This window comes from Homo sapiens, chromosome 1 (genome assembly GCF_000001405.40).
Source record: "Homo sapiens chromosome 1, GRCh38.p14 Primary Assembly".
Lineage (NCBI taxonomy): Eukaryota > Metazoa > Chordata > Mammalia > Primates > Hominidae > Homo > Homo sapiens.
Genome location: NC_000001.11, coordinates 188691265 through 188710594, shown reverse-complemented (window position 1 = coordinate 188710594; position 19330 = coordinate 188691265). Strand labels below are relative to the sequence as shown.

General features: G+C 36.8%; 1 pseudogene, besides 1 other annotated feature; it reads right to left on the bottom strand.

The window, feature by feature from the left end:
* Window positions 2956-4155: an enhancer, noted in NCBI's record as "BRD4-independent group 4 enhancer chr1:188675571-188676770 (GRCh37/hg19 assembly coordinates)". NCBI's record gives its function as "activates an origin of replication core promoter dependent on BRD2, P300/CBP, MED14 and CDK7 cofactors, and independent of BRD4, by STARR-seq in HCT116 cells {active_cell/tissue: HCT116}" and the evidence as "EXISTENCE:reporter gene assay evidence [ECO:0000049][PMID:35650434]".
* On the bottom strand, window positions 15440-16300 carry RPS3AP9 (RPS3A pseudogene 9; annotated as a pseudogene).

The following is a 19330-nucleotide window of genomic DNA, read 5'->3' as shown; positions in this document are numbered from 1 at the left end:
CACCACACCGGCTAATTTTTGTGGGTTTTTTTGTTGTTGTTGTTTTGTTTTTTTGAGATGGAGTTTCCCTCTTGTTGCCAAAGCTGGAGTGCAATGGCACGATCTTGGCCCACTGCAACCTCCGCCTCCCAGGTTCAAGTGATTCTCCTATCTCAGCCTCCTGAGTAGCTGGGATTACAGGAACGCAACACCACGCCTGGCTAATTTTTTGTATTTTTAGCAGAAACAGGGTTTCACCATGTTAGCCAGGATGGTCTTGATCTCCTGACCTCAGTTGATCTGCCTGCCTTGGCCTCCACAGGTGTGAGCCACCTCATCTAGCCTCTAGGATTTTCTTTTTATTCTTTCTTAGAGTTTCAATCTCCTTGCTTACCTTACCTACCTGTTCTTTCATGCTGTTTTATTTTTCTTTAGAACCATCAACATATTAATTACGGTTATTTTAAATTCCTGGTTCTCTTTACCCTCATGTCTCTGCTGTATCTGAATCTGGTTCTGATGCTTGCTTCGCTTCCTCTCTTCAGATTGTATTTTTTTCTTGTCTTTTAGCATGCTTGTGTTTAATTTTTTATTGAAAGCCAGACATGTGACATCAGGTAGTAGGAACTGAGATAAACAGTCCTTTAGTGTGAAATTTTATGTTTATCTAACTAGGAGTTAGAAAGTGTTTAGTGTTTGTTATACCTGTAGATATCAGTCTTCAATAGTATCTAGTGTCCTTGCTTTTTCTCCACTGTTAACTTTGAGTTTCCCTGGAGATTTCATAAATGGATTTTGTGTCTTGCAGCTTGTTCAATTGTGGTTCACCGTTATTATCCTGGAGCTCTGTTGTTGTAGTGGTAAGATACTGGGGAGGAGAAGTGTTCTACAATAATACAACTAAGTCTTTAGAGGGGGTTCTCTCTCTCTCTCTCTCTCTCTCTCTCTCTCTCTTTCTCTGTGTGTGTGTGTGTGTGTACGTGTGTGTGTGTTTCCCAGTAGACCAAAGCCTCTGGTGGTACTTTTTTTTTTCTTCTACTCAAAGCATGACAAAGTTTTCCTCTGATCCTCACAATGAGAACCTGGTGAAGGTCCCAGAGGAAAAAACTTTAAAAAATATAGGATTCACTCCCACCCCAGACCAGGAATGGGTCCTGGGAGTTTTTAACTCTTCAGGCAGTCCTCACTTTGGTTCTAGCACTTATACTACTACAGCAGCAGGCTTCTCCTCCTCCTCTCCCCACAAACAATACAATGTATTTTCCGCTCTCTTCAGTTTTCTTGGCAGCTGTTTGCTCTGTGATGTCAATTCTCGTATGGATCTAAGAGCTATTTTAGGCTTTTGTCAAAGCCTCGATAATGAACAGAGAGAGCCTCTATAAAAGAAATTATTTTTATTTGAGAGTGAATATTGCAATGGGAATATACATGTCATAGTAAATAATGAGCATATTCAGGGAGGTAAAGGAAGACAAAGGTTCTTAAAGAGAAAGTGGGAAGGGTTATATAATTATTTTGAGATAATTATAGGGTTAATAGCAAGGATAGCACCAGGCTAAGGCTGCACAGGCAGTTGCCAAGCAGATATCCTCACAGAAGTATTATTTGTGTGTAAGCCTGTGATGGCCTTTGTGCAAGGTTGTGGTGTTTGCAGTCTTTTGTGATAGTTCTTGTTATTATGGATGCATGCACGAAAACCCTCCCCTTGCAGCCTTCTCCACCTCCATTTGTTAGGGTTTTTAACACAAGTGTGTCCATTTTTATTCTAATAACACATTCTATTTTTTTTCTCAGTTGGGTGAAGTGCATTTGTAGTTGCTCATTGAAGCATTTTATGATTTCTGCTTTAAAACTCTTTGTCAGATAGTTCTAATATCTCTGTCACTTTGGCATTTGCCATGCTTGTCTTTTTCCATTCAGTTTGAGATATTTCTAATTCTTTGTATAACACCAGATTTTTTATTAAAATCAAGACATTTTTGTGTTGTGTTATGAGACTCTCAATCTTATTTGCATATTTTCTTTTTAGCTGTATAATTTGACATGCCTTCAGCTGGGGAAGAGGAGCCACCTTATTATAACTAGGTGACGATAGCAACTCAGACTCTCCAATGGGTTTCCATTGAGACCAAAGGGGATGATGCCTTGTTACCTTAGACAGTGATGGGAGTTCCTGTTCCCCACCAGGTATCCAATGATGCTTTGCTGTTTAAGAGGGGTGGAAGTGTCTTGTCACTGCTCCCTAAGTAGTCTCCACTGATACTGCAGTGGGAATGGTGTTATTACCCTCTGGTGATGGTGAAAGTATTGACTCTATCCAATACGTCCTCTGACTCGACACTGGGGACGGAGAGGGAGTCCTTGTTAATGCTGGTGAGGGTGAAAGTCCAGGCTCTCTGCATGGTTTCCATTGCCATCATGGAAGACGTAGTACTGGAGCTGGCTATTACCTGGTGGAGATAGAGTTCCAGTTCCCTATGCAGCCCCCTTCAAAACCTCCCCAGCAGGGGAGTTGGGACATCTTTTTATAACCTGGCAAATGTGAAAGTCTAGGACACTAACTTGACAATTGTTGGTGGTGTCTGGTGGTAACAGAAAGGTTACTTTCTCAAACCTCTGTTTCCTTAGGCTTTCCCTTTCCTATTTGTTTGTGTCAAAGGAACAGGCTTTTGAGGGGCTTATTTTGTCTGCGTCCATTTGTCTGCTTCTAGGCTTCTCCAGCATCCTGCATGAAATATATGAGGCAAAAATAATACTCAGGAAGCTTACTGTGTTTCCAAATTTTTTGTTCTGAGACCCCTAACCAGTGTGACTTCTTTTTAGCTTTCAGGGTCTTCTTATATTTTATACATAATACCAAGAGTTTTCAGCAGCACATATCAGAAAGAACAGGGGAAAATATATCTAATGCATCTTCTTGGAAGTGTAGTTTTATCTAATTTTAAAAATGTAAAATATTTCAAATATTTAGACTATTATAGAGAATAATGTGAATGACATCCATAAACTATCCAATCATTTTACAACTGCTAATATTAAGCCTTATATACTTAAAATCCATGTTTTCTTTTGTTTTAATACATAAAACATTAAAGATACAGTTGAATTCTGTTCGGCACCTCTCTGTAATTTTTTTCCTTAATTTGCAGTGGCAGCACACTTAGTGTTTACCATTCCCATAAATAGCTAATATGTGTTTTTCTATATTTATATATACATATTTATTATACAGTAGTCCCCCTTTGTTCACCAAAGATATGTTCAAAGATCCCCAGTGGATGCCTGAAACTGCAAATAGTACTGAACCCTATATATATTATGCAGAAATTTATTTTACCTTTTTAAAAATTTCACAGATAGAAGGTTTGTTTTTTCCACAGATCTTAGCAACCTCAGCATATATTTTTTTATTTTCCTTATTAAGTCAAGAGCTTTCGCCTTTTCAGTTAAAGGAAATATACATTATGGCTTCTCTGTAGCATAGCAAAATTGTCAGCATCACTATTCTCGTGCTTTGGGGTCATTAGTAAGTAAAATAAAGGTTACCTGAACACAAGCACTGCAGTACTGCAACAATAAATCTGATAACCTGGATGATGACTAAGTGACTAAGGGGCTGGTAGCACGTAACATGGATAAGTTACACAAAGGGATGATTCACTTACAGGACATGATGCAGCAGTAACTGAGATTTTTATCAAGCTACTCAGAACAGTGCACGATTTAAAATTTATGGATTTACTTGGTGTGGTGGCGCATACCTATAATTCTGGCTCCTCTAGAGGCAGTGTGCTATGATTACCCTATATGACTGTACTGCAACCTGGGAAACATAGTGGGATCATGTCTCAAAAATAAAAAGATTTTAAACATTTATGAATAATATTAAGTTCTATTTGTTTCTAAACATAATTACTTAGGGTAAATTTTTTGATGAATTATATGTTTGTAAGATTTATTCATGCTGATAAGTGAAAAGTTTGTTGTTTAAATTTCATTTTTGATTGGCTAAATATTGAGTGATTTACTTATGATATTGTGTATAAGTGCCTTTTTCTTCATCTCTCTCTCTTTTATATTTTTATTAGTCTCAATGGAAGTTTGATTACGTTCAAATTTTTAATCCAAAGTCTCAGATTCATATACCTTCAGTCACTACTATGGTTTGAATGTTCTCTCTAAAACTCGGGTTTAAATTTAATGGACATTGTGACAGTATTAAGAGATGGGATCATTAAGAGGTGATTAGATCCTTTCTCCTTAATGGATTAATGCAGTTATCATGGGAGTGGGTCAGTGGTCTCAAGAATTCATCCCCTTTTTCCCACAGGTGATAGGTAATGAAGATCTTCACCGGAATTGGCCTCTTGATCTTGGACTTTCCAGCCTCCAGAACTGCAAGCCAAATAAACATATTGTGTATAAATCATCCAATCTGTGGTATTCTGTTATAACAGCAAAAAGTGAACTGAGACAGTTTATTCTTTAGGTAGGACTTTTGTTTTCTAATTGCCTAATGTCACTCAATCTCCAAAGTTTTAAATCCAAACTTTTAGATTTATAACTTATGGACTTAAAAATCCATTCCTATTAGGCTAGTCACTTTCTAGTCCTTTGAGATAAAGTGATGAACAATATGAATATGGCTTTTGCTCTTATCATATGTATAGTCTAATGCAACAAGAAGTTATTGAGAAACGTTAACACTGAAGAGTAATATGAAAGGAAGATTGCAGGATGCCAAGTCAACCTATACGAGAGAGGTATCTATGAAACAAAAAGAAATCCTTTCTGAAGAAATATTATTATATGAAACCTTCTGTTGGCCAGAATAAAGAGAAATCGGGTGGGAATATTCTAGGCAAAGTGAGAAAATGAGAAAATTCCCAGTGAAGTGTGGAGCACAGGATGTTCAAGGGACTGCAGAAAGGATGATCTTTTGATCATCCAAATCCTAATCAAATTATGGATGAAATGGCATGGAAAAGAGATAATAGGCAACCATAGGAAACATTTTGTTTTTTTTTTTTTCAAAACAGAAATAATGGGTGTAGATAGAGCAATACTGAAAAAAAACCCCAAATTCTATATTTTATATATTTGTCCCCTCCAAAACTCATGTTGAAATTTTACCCCCAGTGAGGCTGTATAGAGTTGTGGGGCTATTAAAAAGTAATCGGGTGATAAGAGAAGAGTTCTCATGAGTGAATTGATCCATTCATGGATTCGTGGCTTAGTTTACTAATGGATTATTACAGGAGTGGCCTGTAAGTGGTTTCATAAGAGGAGAAAGATACCTGAATTCACTGTATAAGTCCTCTCACCATGTGATGCACTGTACCACCTCAGGACTCTGCAGAAAGTTCCCACAACCCAGAAGAATCTTACCAGATGTGGTCTCTCAACTTCAGAGTTCTCACCCTATATAACTGTAAGAAACAAATTTAATTTCCTTATTGATTTCTTAGTTTCAGGTGCTCTGTTATAAGCAACAGTAAAATGGATTAAGACACAAAATTGGTGCTGATAATGGGGCTGTTGCTATTAAAGAATATCTGAAAATGTGGGATAGCTTTGGAATAGGATAATGGGTAGAGGTTGGAAGAGCTTAGAAGATAAGGCTAGAAAAACCCCGCATTGACTTAAATAGTATATTAAGGGTAACTCTGGTGAGGGATCAAAAAATAACAAAATGACTAGAGAAAGTTTGAAATTTCAAAAAGATTGGTTAATTAGTTGTGACCAAAAATCTGATAAAAATATAGGCACTATAGTCCATTCTAACCAGGTCTCAGATAGAACTGAGGAACCAAGGTATTGGAAGCTGGAGTAAAGACCAGCTTTATGTTGTTATAAATTGGCAAATAACTTGTCTGAACTATGTCCATAAGGGCTTTGTGGAAGGATGAACTTCAGAGAGATGAATACTAACATATCTAGCAGAGGAAATTACTAAGCAAAATTTAGAAGGAGCTGCACGTTTACTTTTGGCTGCTTGCACTGATTCAGCAGCAAAGAAACAATTTAAAGATAGATTTATAATCTGAAATGGAAGCAGAACAAAAAGTTTAGAAAACTCTCAGCTTGGTCATGTAAATAGTGAACACCTGTGTTCAGGAGAGGAAACCAAGGATGTGGCCCAGGGATCATTTGGTAATGGAATTAGCCCAGGGACACAAAAATGAAGAGTATAAACTATGGGGACTCCCTCCAAAAGAGGGGAGAGTAGGAAGGATGTGTGCACTGAAAATGCTTCTATTGGATACAGTGTTCAATATTTGGGTGATGGGTACACTAAAAGGCCAACCCCCACCATTACACATACAATACCCATGTAACTAAGAAGACTATGTGCTCCTTGAATCAATAATTTAAAAAAAAGAAGAGAGCCAGCTGCAATTTCTAGAGACAATGAAAGACCCCAAAAGCATTTCAGAAAACTCTGAGGCTTCCCCTCTCATCACAGTCTCAGAAGCCTAGGAGGGTAGGATGGTTTGGGGCATAGGTCCACAGCTTGCTCCATAGGCTTACTTTCCAGAGCCACTTTGAGATTCTGCTCCTTGAAATCCCATCCAGTGCTTCTTAGCCACACCTGCTGTTGCATAAATAGGTCCAGGTAGAGACTGATATTACCCTTCACTCAAGAAGATACAAGCCATAAGCCTTGGGACACCTACATGGTGTTAATTATTCAGGCTTACAGAAAGCAAGGGCTATGGCGGTCAGGCAACTTCCATGCAGATTTCAAAGGATGTCACTGAAAGTCTGGGAGCCAAGCCTGAGATTTGTCACAGGGGCAGAGCTACCATAGAGAGACCCAAATAAAGTGAAACAGAATGGAAAGGCAGGGTCAGAGACTTACCACTAGTGCAGTGCCTAGTGGAGCCATGACAGTAGGATTGCCACCAGGACCTCCGAACTGTAGAGTCACTGGCAATACGCAATACTTGCCTGGGAAATCTTCAGGTACTTGACTCTAGCCTGTTTGGGCAGCTGTGTTGGCTGCACCCAGTAAAGCCGTAGGGACAGGGTTGCTTGAGGCCTTGGGCACCTGACCTCCAGTCTGTCCAGGAAATGGCACATAGAGTCAAAAGAAATTGTTCTCCTCCTTTAAGATTGAATGTCTGTCTTTTGGAGTTTTGCACTTGCTTGGGGACTGTTCCTACTTTCTTTTGCCTATTTCCTACATTTGAAATAGGAATACCTATGCCAGGCTTGTACTATCATTGTGTCTTAGAAGTAACTAACTTATTTTGATTTTACAGGTTTACAGAAGGAGACTCTGAACTTTAAACTTTTGACTTGGTACTGGAACGCGTTAAGACTTTAGGGCAATGAGATTAGATGAATATGAAAAGCACATGAGTCTTGAGGGACTATGGGCAGAATGCTATGCTTTAAATATTTGTCCCTTCCAAAATGCATGTTGAAATTTAATCCTCAATATGGCAGTATTGAGAGGCGAGGTATTAAACAGATAACTGTGTCATGGGGTTCCTGCTGTCTTTAATGACTTAATTCACTCACAGATGAATAGATTCATGGGTTAATGAATTAATGGGTTATTATGGGATTGGCATTAGTGGCTTTATATAGGGTAAAAGAGAGACCTGAGCTGGCATCCCCAGGCCCCTCCTCATATAACACCTTGTACTGCCTTGGGACTCTGTGGAGTTCCCACCAGATGCACTCCCTTAACTCTGGATTTTCCAGCCTCCAGAACTGGAAGAAATACATTTTGTTTATTTATAAATTACCCAGTGACAGGTATTATTTTAAGAGCAACAATCATGGACTACAATTTAGGATTTTCAGTATGTCAATTAAGACCATGTTGCTTTTAACTCTAAACATGAGAAAGAAGTGGCAAAGAGAAGTGATATTTTAAAAAACACATAAGGAGGGGCTTCAAGATGGCTAGAAGAATTTCATGCTTGTCTCCTTTACTCAGAAGAACAAAAATAGTATGTAGACAATCACACTGAATGCATTATATAAGAAAGAACACTGGAATGCAACAGAAAAGTGACAGGAAACATTGAAATCAAGGAAGGAGAAGAGACAGAAAGAGCCAGTGTGCTTGGCTGGGATTGGCTGGGAGACAGGAGTGTCTTCCCCACATGGAGAGAGTGTAAGTGAGAAAATTGAGGTAGTCTGCATTCCCACCATGGAGTCTTGCCACAGAAGAGCCCTTTGACCCTGTGAAGCCTTGAAACTAACACGGGGAGCTTCCAGGAGACTGTGAGAAAGAATTGCTCCAGGATGGAGTTTGTGCTTTGTCCCACACCCTTTCTCTGACATAAGTAGTTATAGCCAAGTGCCAATTTAAATCCTAGCTTTCTGCCCTGGAGCTCAGTGGCACTGAGACTGAGGTGTTAGGAAAGCTTGGGATGTTGCTGCAGGAACTGGGGTGTGATCTGGGAACAAATTCCCACATTTGGAGCTGATAATTGAATGAGGCATAGACTGCAGCTGCTGGTTCTGGTAAGTGAGCTCCATAGTGACTGATACTAGGATGCAAATGGGGTAGAACTTGCTGCTAGGACTGAATTGCAAATTGGGCAGGCAGTTCCTACAGTTGGGCTGAGGTGTGAACTAGGCATGTGCTATTCTTGCCAGGACTGAGAGTTGAACCCCACTGGGGCTATGGCATGAGAGGGATGAATGTTTGCCCCATCATTGACCCAGGCTGTGTCCGATGAAACCTGCGCCATCCACTCCAGTGGCAGGGTCTCAGCACAGCCGCAACCACTCTTTACTTGAGCACTCTACTTGGAGCACTCTGCCCCCACCCATCATGACTGGTGCCTTCTCTCATCATTGGTTGGGCCTGAGCACAAGCCCTCCCACTTGGCTTTTACCCATCATTCCAAGACAGATCACATAGCCAGGGTTTTGGGAATTGCCCAATTTAATCCACCACTGCAGCATCTGAAAACTCCTCCAGAGGGCCTGAGATTAAATCTAAACATCTGGTTGCTACCAACACAGCTGGCACCTATCTGCAAGCACCATCTGCAAGCCTGAAGACTGGGCTGTCCAGACCATCACAGCCACCTCCACCACCAATGCACACCACTTGGGACTCAGAGACTTGTCTTGCCACTGCTACCACTATCTCCTCTACCACTCTGGCTGCTTAGGGACCTATAACCCACCCATCCACTCAGTCCATCTCTGCCACAACCACCATCCAAGCAAACAATCTGAAAGCCCAAGAATTGGCTCACTGATAGCTACCAACACAGATGCCAATGTATATTGCCCTGCGGCACAAAAATAGGCATGCTAAACCCACAGGTGCAATCACTAGTCTTTGAATATTGGCACTTCTGGCATTCTAGTCCCCAGCACGACTTTGCCATAATCTTCACTAATAAGTTTACCCCAAGCCACTGAGGAAATCACAAACATTATGAAAATTGTTTACAGTCAAAGAAATCATAAAGAGACTACACTACTGCAAGTATCCCGAATCATAGCTAAATGCCCTATTCAACCCACATTATAGATACATTTTCAGGAAAAAGTCTCCTAAATTTAAAAATAGGAAGAAGTGACTGTTACACCAGATGTGCAGATATCAATGTGAGGACACAAGACTCATGAAAAAAGGAAATATGACACTTCCAAAGGGACACAGTAATTATCCAACTATAAATCTTAGCCAAATGGAAATTCTCAAAATAATAGATAAAGAATTTAAAACATTATCTGTAAAGAAACTTAGTTAGATAAAGAGAATTCTATAAAATACAGATAAAATATTTAAAAAATCAGGATATAAATGAGAAACTTACCAAAGACATATTTTTTCAAAAATAGTATACATTTTTAGAATATATATTTAGAATATGTTTTTATAATAATCAAATAAAAATTCTGGAAATGAAGACTTTATTAAAGGAAATACAAATTACATTTACATTTGAAAGTTTCAATAATAGACTTGATTAAGCAGAAAAAAGAATCTCAGAACTTGAAGACAGGTCTTTTGATAGAACCCAGTGAGACAAAAATAAAGAAAATATAATATAAAAGAATGAGCAAAGCCTCTGTGATATTTAAGACAGCATAAAGCAATTGAATATTAAAATTATCAGAATCACCAAAGGCATAGAGATAACAAAAAAATAGAAAACTTATTGAATAAAATAATACATGAAAATGGCTCAGTGATCCCCAAGCAGATACAATGCAAAAATTTCTTCTCCATGGAACATTATAAGCAGTTGTATGAAGTCAAAGACAAAGAGCAAATACTAAAAACAGAAAGACAAAGATATTGAGTCACTTCCGTGAGACTAATATAAAATCTCTCAGCAGCAACTTTACAGGCTAGAAGAGAATGGAATTATATATTAAAAGTACCGAAAAAATACAAACAAACTTCCAATGAAGAAGGGTACATCCAGCAATATTATCCTTCATAAATGAAAGATAATAAAATATTTTCCAGACAAGCAAATGCTGAGGGAACTTGTTACCATTTTGACAGGTCTTAAAAGAAATATCTAAGGGGGTCTTAAACCTATAAGTTAAAGGATAACATTTACCATCATGAACAAACATGAAAGTATAAAACTCACTGATAAAGTAATCACACAGAAAGGAAGAGAAATGACTCATTACAGAAATCCACCAAACCAAAATGAGAAACAATAGAAGAAAAATAAATAAATAATATATAAAACAATCAGAAAATAATTAACAATATTACAGCAACAAAACCCCAGATACAAATAATGACCTTGAATGCAAATGAATTAAATTATTCACTTAAAGGAAATAATTGCTGAAAGGATAAAAAAATGATCCAACTATGGGCTACTTATAAGAAATGAACCTTATCAGTAAAGATACATGCAGACTAAAATTAAAGGGATAGAAAACAATATTCCATTCAAATATAAAACAAAAGCAAGCAGAAGTAGCTGTACTTATATCAGATAAAACACTCTTTAAATCAAAACAGTATCAAAAAGACAAAAAATGTCACTATATAATAATAAAGAGATATAGTTCTAAGATATAACAATTATATATGTCCCCAGAACCTTAGCATTCAGATTCATACAACAACGATTATGAGATCTATGGAAAGAGATACGCTGCAATCTAGTAATGGTGGGAGAATTTAACAGCCCACTCTCACCATTACATAGATCATCTAGATAGAAAATCAATGAAGAAATATTGACTCTATACTGAGCTATAGACTAAATGGACCTAACAGACATTTACAGAACACTCTATACAACAATTGAGAATGTATATTATTTTCATCAGAACATGGAACATTTTCCAGGATAGACCATATGTTAGATTCCAAAAAAGTCTCGACAAATTCAAAATCATATCAACTATGTTCTGAGTCCACAATGAAATAAAACTAGAAATCACAACCAAAAGGAATCTTGAAAATTATACAAATACATGGAAATTAAAAAACATACATCCAAATGACCACTGGGCTAACAAAGAAATTAAGAAGGAAACGTAAAAAATTTATTGAAACAAAGGAAAATGAAAACACAACATAGCAAAACCTATGTGATACAGCAACAGGAGTGCTAAGAGAAAAGTTTGAAACATTAAAAAAGTAGAAAGATTACAAATTAACAGACTAACAATGTACTTTAAGGAATGAGAAAAGAAAGGACAAACCAAACCTAAAATTAGCTGAAGAAAATAACAATAAAAATCAGAACAGAACTAAATGAAACAGACACTAAAAAATTACAACGGATCAACAAAATAGAAAATTGGTTCTTCAGAAAGGTGAACTAAACTTGATTAATCACTAGCTTGACTAACCAAGAAGAGAGAAGACATAAATAAAATCAGAAATGAAAATGGAGACATTGCAACTGATACCACAGAACTAGAAAAGGTCATAAGAGACAGCTATAAACAACTATACACTGATAAACTGAAAAACCTAGAGAAAATGGATAAATTACAGAAAATATAAGATCTACCAAGATTGAATTAGGAAGAAGTAGAAAACCTGAACAGACCAATAAATAGCAAGTTTGAATCTGTAATAAAATGTCTCCCAATAATAATTCTACCAAATGTACAAAGAACTAATACCAATCCTCTTGAAAGGAACAAACAACAACAACAACAAAAAAAAAAAAAAAAAAAGAGGATCTTTATTTCAAAAAAATTTAAAGAGGAGGAAATTCTTCCTAACTAATTCTGTGAGACCGGCATTACCCTGATACCAAAACCAGACAAGGACTCAACAAAGAACGAAATATAGGTCAATATTCCTGATGAAAATAGACTAAAAAAACACCAATAAAATACTAGCTAAATAAATCCAACCGCACATGAAAAAGATAATAAACCATAATGACATAGGATTTATGGGTAGGGATGCGAGGATGGTACAACATACACAAATCAATATTATGTCAACAGAATGAAGGAAAAAGTCCATATGATCATCTCAATAGATGCAGAAAAAGCATTTGACAAAATTCAGCATACCTTCATGACAAAACCTCTCAACAAACTATGCCTAGAAGGAAAAATACTTCAAAATAATAAAAGCCATGTATATCAAACCAACAGCTAACATCATATGAAATGGGGAAATGTCAAAAGCCTTTCGTCTAAGAACTAGAACAAGACAAGGATGGCCACTTTCAGCATTCGTATTCAGCAAAGCACTTAAAGTCCTAGCCAGAGAACTCAGGCAAAAGAAAAACAAAGGGTGGCCGGGCACAGTGGTTCACGCCTGTAATCCCAGAACTTTGGGAGGCTGAGGTGGGTGGATCACCTGAGGTCAGGAGTTCAATACCAGCCTGGCCAACATGGTGAAACCCCATCTCTACTAAAAATACAAAAATTAGCTGGCCATGGTTGTGCATGCCTGTAATCCCAGCTACTTGGGAGGCTGAGGCAGGAGAATTGCTTGAGCCTGGGAGGTGGAGGTTGCAGCCAGCCAAGATTGCGCCATCACACTCCAGCCTGGGCGACAGAGCAAGACTCCATCTCAAAAAAAAAAAAAAAAAAAGGAGAAGAATAAAGGATATCCAAATAGAAAAAGAGAAAGTCAGATTGTCCCTCTTTGCTGATGATATGATGTTATATCTAGAGAAACTTAAAGTCTCCACCAAAAATATCTTATATTAGATTAATGAATTCAGTAAAGTTGCAGGATAGAAAGTCAACCTACAAAAGCCAATAGCATTTTCTTTCTTTCTTTCTTTCTTTCTTTCTTTCTTTCTTTCTTTCTTTCTTTCTTTCTTTCTTTCTTTCTTTCTTTTTCTTTCTTTCCTTTTCTTTCTTTCTTTCTCTTTCTTTCTTCTCTTCTCTCTCTTCTCTTCTCTTCTCTTCCCTTCTCTTCCCTTCTCTTCTCTTTTCCCTTCCCCTTCCCCTTCCCTTCTCTTCTCTTCTCTTTTCCCTTCCCCTTCCCCTTCCCTTCCCTTCCCTTCTCTTACTTGCAAGCACACAATCTTAGCATCGCAGCTCACTGCAACCTCCGTCTCCTGGGTTCAAATTGTTCTCCTCCCTCAGCCTCCTGAGTAGGTGGTATCACAGGCACGTGCTACTACACCGGGCTGATTTTGCATTTTTATTTTAGTAGAGATGTGGTTTCACCATGTTGACCTCAAGTGATCTGCCCACCTCAGCCTCCCGAAGTGCTGGGATTACAGTTATGAGCCACCTCATCGGCTAGATCAGTAACATTTCTATACGTTAGTAATAATGTAGCTGAAAGAATCAATAAGCTAATCTCATTTATAAAAGCTGCCAAAAATATTCCTAGCAATAAAATTAACAAAGGAGGTAAAAATAGGTTTATTAGGAAAATAAACAAAATGCTGATTAAAGGAATTGAAGGGAACACCAAAAAAATAGAAAAGCATCTTATGGTCATGGAGCAGAATTAATGTCACTAAAATGGTCATATTTCGCAAAGCAATCTACAGATTTAATTCAATCTCTATAAAAATGCTCTCATTATTTTACACAAAGATAAAAAAAATCTAGAACTAATATAAAACAAAGCAAAACAAAAAAGAGCCCAAATAACCAAAGCATTCCTGAGCAAAATGGACAAATCTGGAAGCATCATATTACCTAACTTCAAAATATATTACAAGGCCATAGTAACCAAAGCAGCATAGTATTTGTATAATAATAGATACATAGACCAATGGAACAGTATAGAGAACCCTGAAATAAGGCCACATATTTACAGCCAACTAATCTTTGACAAATCTGACAAGAACTTACACTGGGGAAAATATACTCTCTTCAGTAAATGTGCTAAGAAAATTGGCTACAGAAGAATAAAACTGAACTCTTATCTCTCATCGTATAGACATTAACTCAAAATAAATTAAAGATTTAAATATAAGACCTGAAAGTATAAAAATACTAGTAGACAACTAAAGCAAAACTCTTCCGGACATTGATCTAGGCAAAGGATTTATTACTAAGACCTCAAAAGCACAGGCAACAAAAACAAAAACAGACAAATAGAAAGGACTTAATTAAACTAAATAGGTTCTGCAAAGCAAAATAAATAACCGAGAGTGAAAAAACTATATGTTGAATGTGAGAAAATATCTGCACACTATTAGTCTGACAGGGGGCTAATATTTATATTTGAGGAACTCAAACATCTCAATAAATTACAAAAAACAACCCCAATCCTGTTAAAAAGTGTGCAGAGGACATGAATAGACATTTCTGAAAAGAAGACATGCAAATGATCAACAGGTATACAAAAAAAAGCTTCACATCACTAATCATCAGAGAAATGCAAATGAAAAACAAAATGAGATATCCTTTTATCCCAGCCAGAATGTCTATTAGGCATCTAAAGAGACCAAAAAATAACAGATGATGGTGAGAGTATGGAGAAAAGGGAATTCTCAAACACCATCGGTGGGAATGTAAACCAGTACAGTCACTATGAAGAATAGTATGGAATTTTCTTGAATTCTAAACCTAGAATTACCATTTGATACAGCAATGCCACTACTAGGTATCAACCCAAAGGAAAATAAACTAATAAATCAAAGCGATGCCTGCACTCACATGTTTATTGCAGCACTACTCAAAATACCAGATACACAAGCAACCTGAGTGTCTATCAACAGACGAATGGATAAAGAAAATGTGGTACATATACACAATGAAATGCTACTTGGCCATAAAAAAGAGCAAATTCATGTCATTTGCAACAACATGGATGGAACTGGAGGTCATCATCCTAAGTGAAATAAGCCAGGCACAAAAAATAAAAATTGCATATTCTCACTTATGAGTTAAAAAAATGATCACATAGAGGTAAGGAGTGGAAAGATAGATAACAGAATAGATAACAGACTGAGAAGGGTGAGTTGAGGGTAGAAAGGGGGACTAAAGAGAAGTAGGTTAAAGGGTATAAGAACATACAGTTGGATAGAAAAATTAAGGTCCATGTGTTGTTTTTATCACAAATGGGACTTTTTATTTACAATATTAAAAGTCTGAACTTTAAACAGATTGTTGGAAGAGTTGTTCATACCCATAAACTTGTTAAACTTTACCAACTATCTCATCCCCAGTAGCTTTTTCAGAACTACTACCTTCACCATGAAACTCCATGAGTTTCCCAATTCAAACTTGGGCTCCCTCAGCATTTTTACTGTTCTAAAAAAGACATAATGACGAGGATAAATAGATTGACAAGGTTTTTTTTTTTTTATGTCGTTTCCAATTATGTATGAAATCAATTTACTGGCCACTTCTTTCAAGTCATTTGTTTGCACTTCTCAGGTCATGATTTCTATCACCTTTTTCTGGATTTGGTGGACCCATTGGTGCAGAGCATAAGACATCTCTATAACTAATTTTTGCATTTTTTAGTAAAACCAATACAAAACAGACAAAATAAATTAACATCAATAGTCTTCACATCGAAAGAAACTTTAATCATGGTCTGCCCTTTTTTACTGTGGAACACATTTTATCACGGGTAAGATTCATGCCATGGAAGTTAGGAAGTTTTTGACATGAACATCTTCAAGAATCAGCTTGAATTTTCCAAATTCAACTTCATTATTCTGCAGATCAGCAAGATTCACTTCAAACACATGACCCCTGATGCTGTCGGATGCAGTTTTATTTACTTGAGCCCTGGTGACTAGTGTCTTTCCAATATTTCTTATATTGAACATAGCAGGTGCTTTTACATCACACCATTTTTCTTAGCAAATGAATCAACCACTTCCTCCTTGGCTCCTTTTTGCCACCTTTTGTGAGGTGCTTGTTTTTGCCAACCACCATGATGCCACTCAGAGAGCCAGAAAGGCTAAAACCGATATTTGATAGTAAAGTGGGGTGAATATAGTTAACCAAAATATATTGTACACAGGGGATGAAAACCCTACATGTCCTGGCTTAATCATTACTCATTACATACATGTAACAAACTTTTACATGTTCCTCCTAAATTTGTAAAAAACTTAAAAAATTAAAAAGGAGTAAGAAAGAATAGGAAAGTAAAAAATTAAATATTTTCATTATGCCTATTATGTACACACTACCTGTGCTTTTTCAAAGCAACAGGCAGCAATGTGGTATGCTTAAGGAGTAAACACCATTACTGAGATGCAGAAATAAACTAGGGCTTTTAGGCATGGCCAAGTCTTCATCCCTTGATACTTTTCTACTGGTGCCAGAAAAACACAGGCCATCATTTTCAAGTGTATTTATGGCCAACTATATGATTTTACAATGTAGACAACATAGTTTAGTTAAATTTTAGAAAAGAAAGTAAATATCCTGAGATTATATCTACATATAATATTTAGTATTATCTCTCTATATCAATATTGCTGCTGTTATAAAAAAAAAAAAAAGAGAACAACCCTAATCACATTACTATGTGCTGAAGAAATTCTTTCCCACATTCTCAATTCATACTCTGGAACTGGCAAACGTTGTTATACAGATGATGACAGCATCTACTTAATGTGAGGCATCACAATGTACTCCATAGATATGTATAATTATTCTGTAATTATTCCATATCAATTAAAAACATAAAACCTAAAAAAAGTGAAAACACCCTCACACACACATAAACCATATATAGAACCTTTACTAAGTAGGATTTGATAATTGATGAAATGTGGGATGTGAATGAGAAGGATGCAATAGCAATGCCTATCATTTTGCTGTTGAGAGTGAAGGGGTGCGTGGTGGTGCTATGTTTTGATGTAGAGAAAAATAAGTACTAGAAGACAGTAAGATTGCAGGCAATAAACATCTCAAAATTCTGTTACGAATGCTTTTCTAAAATATGCCGATAATTTGGGTAAAAAATCTAAAAGAGGGCTGGGTGCGGTGGCTCATGCCTGTAATCCCAGCACTTTGGGAGGCCAAGGCGGGCGGATCACGAGGTCAGGAGATCGAGACCATCCTGGCTAACACGGTGAAACCCCGTCTCCACTAAAACTACAAAAAATTAGCCGGGCGTGGTGGCGGGCGCCTGTAGTCCCAGCTACTCGGGAGGCTGAGGCAGGAGAATGGTGTGAACCCGGGAGGCGGAGCTTGCAGTGAGCCGAGATCGCGCCACTGCACTCCAGCCTGGGTGACAGAGCGAGACTCCGTCTCAAAATAAATAAACAAACAAACAAACAAATAAATAAATAAATAAATAAAAATCATAAAAATAATCTACAAGAGATGTGTAGTGTGAAAGAAGACAGTTGATAATGACATATCTAGAGATAGTATTTGGAGATTCAGAATAAGAAGGTCATAAAGAGTGAACCATAAAAAGAGAAAAGTCTACAGTACAGAACCCTACAGGTAAAAGGCTGACAGGAAATAAACTGATCCAAGTTATAGAAGGAAAACCAGGGGGATGTGGTGTCAATGAAAAAAAGAAAATAGTGTTCTCCAAATACAGAAATTGTCAAGTAGATCAAACATAACTCAAAGGAAAAGCAAAGTAAAAGTCAAAGTGTATATATTGAATTTAGTGTCATGGAGATTCTTTTAGACTGGATTCCTCTTAAGGGCTGAGCCAGAAATAAGGAGGTGGGGGGCAAATAGTATATTTGAATAGGGATTCAAGCAACTTCTAGTTAGAAAAAAAGAAAGTATAATCTGAAAAGGAGAAATACCACTAATGTGTGGGTTAAGGTGTGGATTATCATTGTGGGCAATGAGGGCTTCATCCAGCAAGGGGGCCTCTGAGATATCATGGAGATCATGCCTCAAAATGGTCTGACTGAGGGAGAAGAAAGTTTGGACATTGATCTATGGGCTCTCTTCCCTCTGGTATTGAGAAGTCTCACGAATAGGGTAAATCCCTTGCACTTTCGAGCCATCCTAGAAATGAGCAAAGCAACTTTATGTGACATAGGAAAATGACACCAGGAAGGGCTGTGGGGAGTCACAAGCATTTGAGTTGGGAATGTGTCAATCATTTCATTGCAAAAATTGATCCTTAGTAAATACTAATATTAATGAAATGGAAGCAATAGAGAATAAGAAAATAAAAATATAAATAATGTTTTCTGAAAATGGAGGAGTGCATGAGATACAGAGCATTAGTGGAAGAAATAGATTAATATAGCAATGAATATAATAACTAACATTTATTTTAAAATTTCTATGTGCTAAGGATTATGTAAATGAGAAGCAAAATCCTTACAACTTTCTAGAAAGCTTTTATGCTTTATACAATATGAAAAATAATTTGGTTAGTAAACTAACAAAATTAACAAACAAATAGCATTTTTTTGCATGGTAAACTCAATCAAATTCATCTACTTTCCATCTTGTAAAAATGTATGAAATCAAGGTATTTCTAATACACTAAACAAAAGAAAGCATATTGAATGAGTTTATTCTTGTTTGTTCACATATTAAGAATAGTTTATCTAAAATTTTATTTGGTTAATAACAAAATCTATTTTCATTCAACCATGGGATCCATTAACATTTTACCTAGTATTATTATATACATAAAGCTATAAACAGCCATAAGGGAATAAAATGCATCCTGTATTTTAGTTGTTACAAATTTCACAGTAAGAGGTAGGAGAGTGGTAAAATGTATACGGTTGCAGTTAGTTAAATTTTTGAGGCTTTGTTTCTACTTGAAAGCAACACCTAGGTATTGTAAACTTCTTAAGATACCATTTTATAACAAGAAACTCTTGTATTTACCTATAAAAATCCAGTTTCAGATATGTAATCTCTCGTACTGAACATCAGAGAAACTAGATGTGCTGTCAGACAGTATTTGCGGTGGTAAGGATGAATGGGTAAAGTCTCTTGGGCCTCCTTTTTTGTCAGTTATTTTTAAGTTTTTCTTAGCTGTATC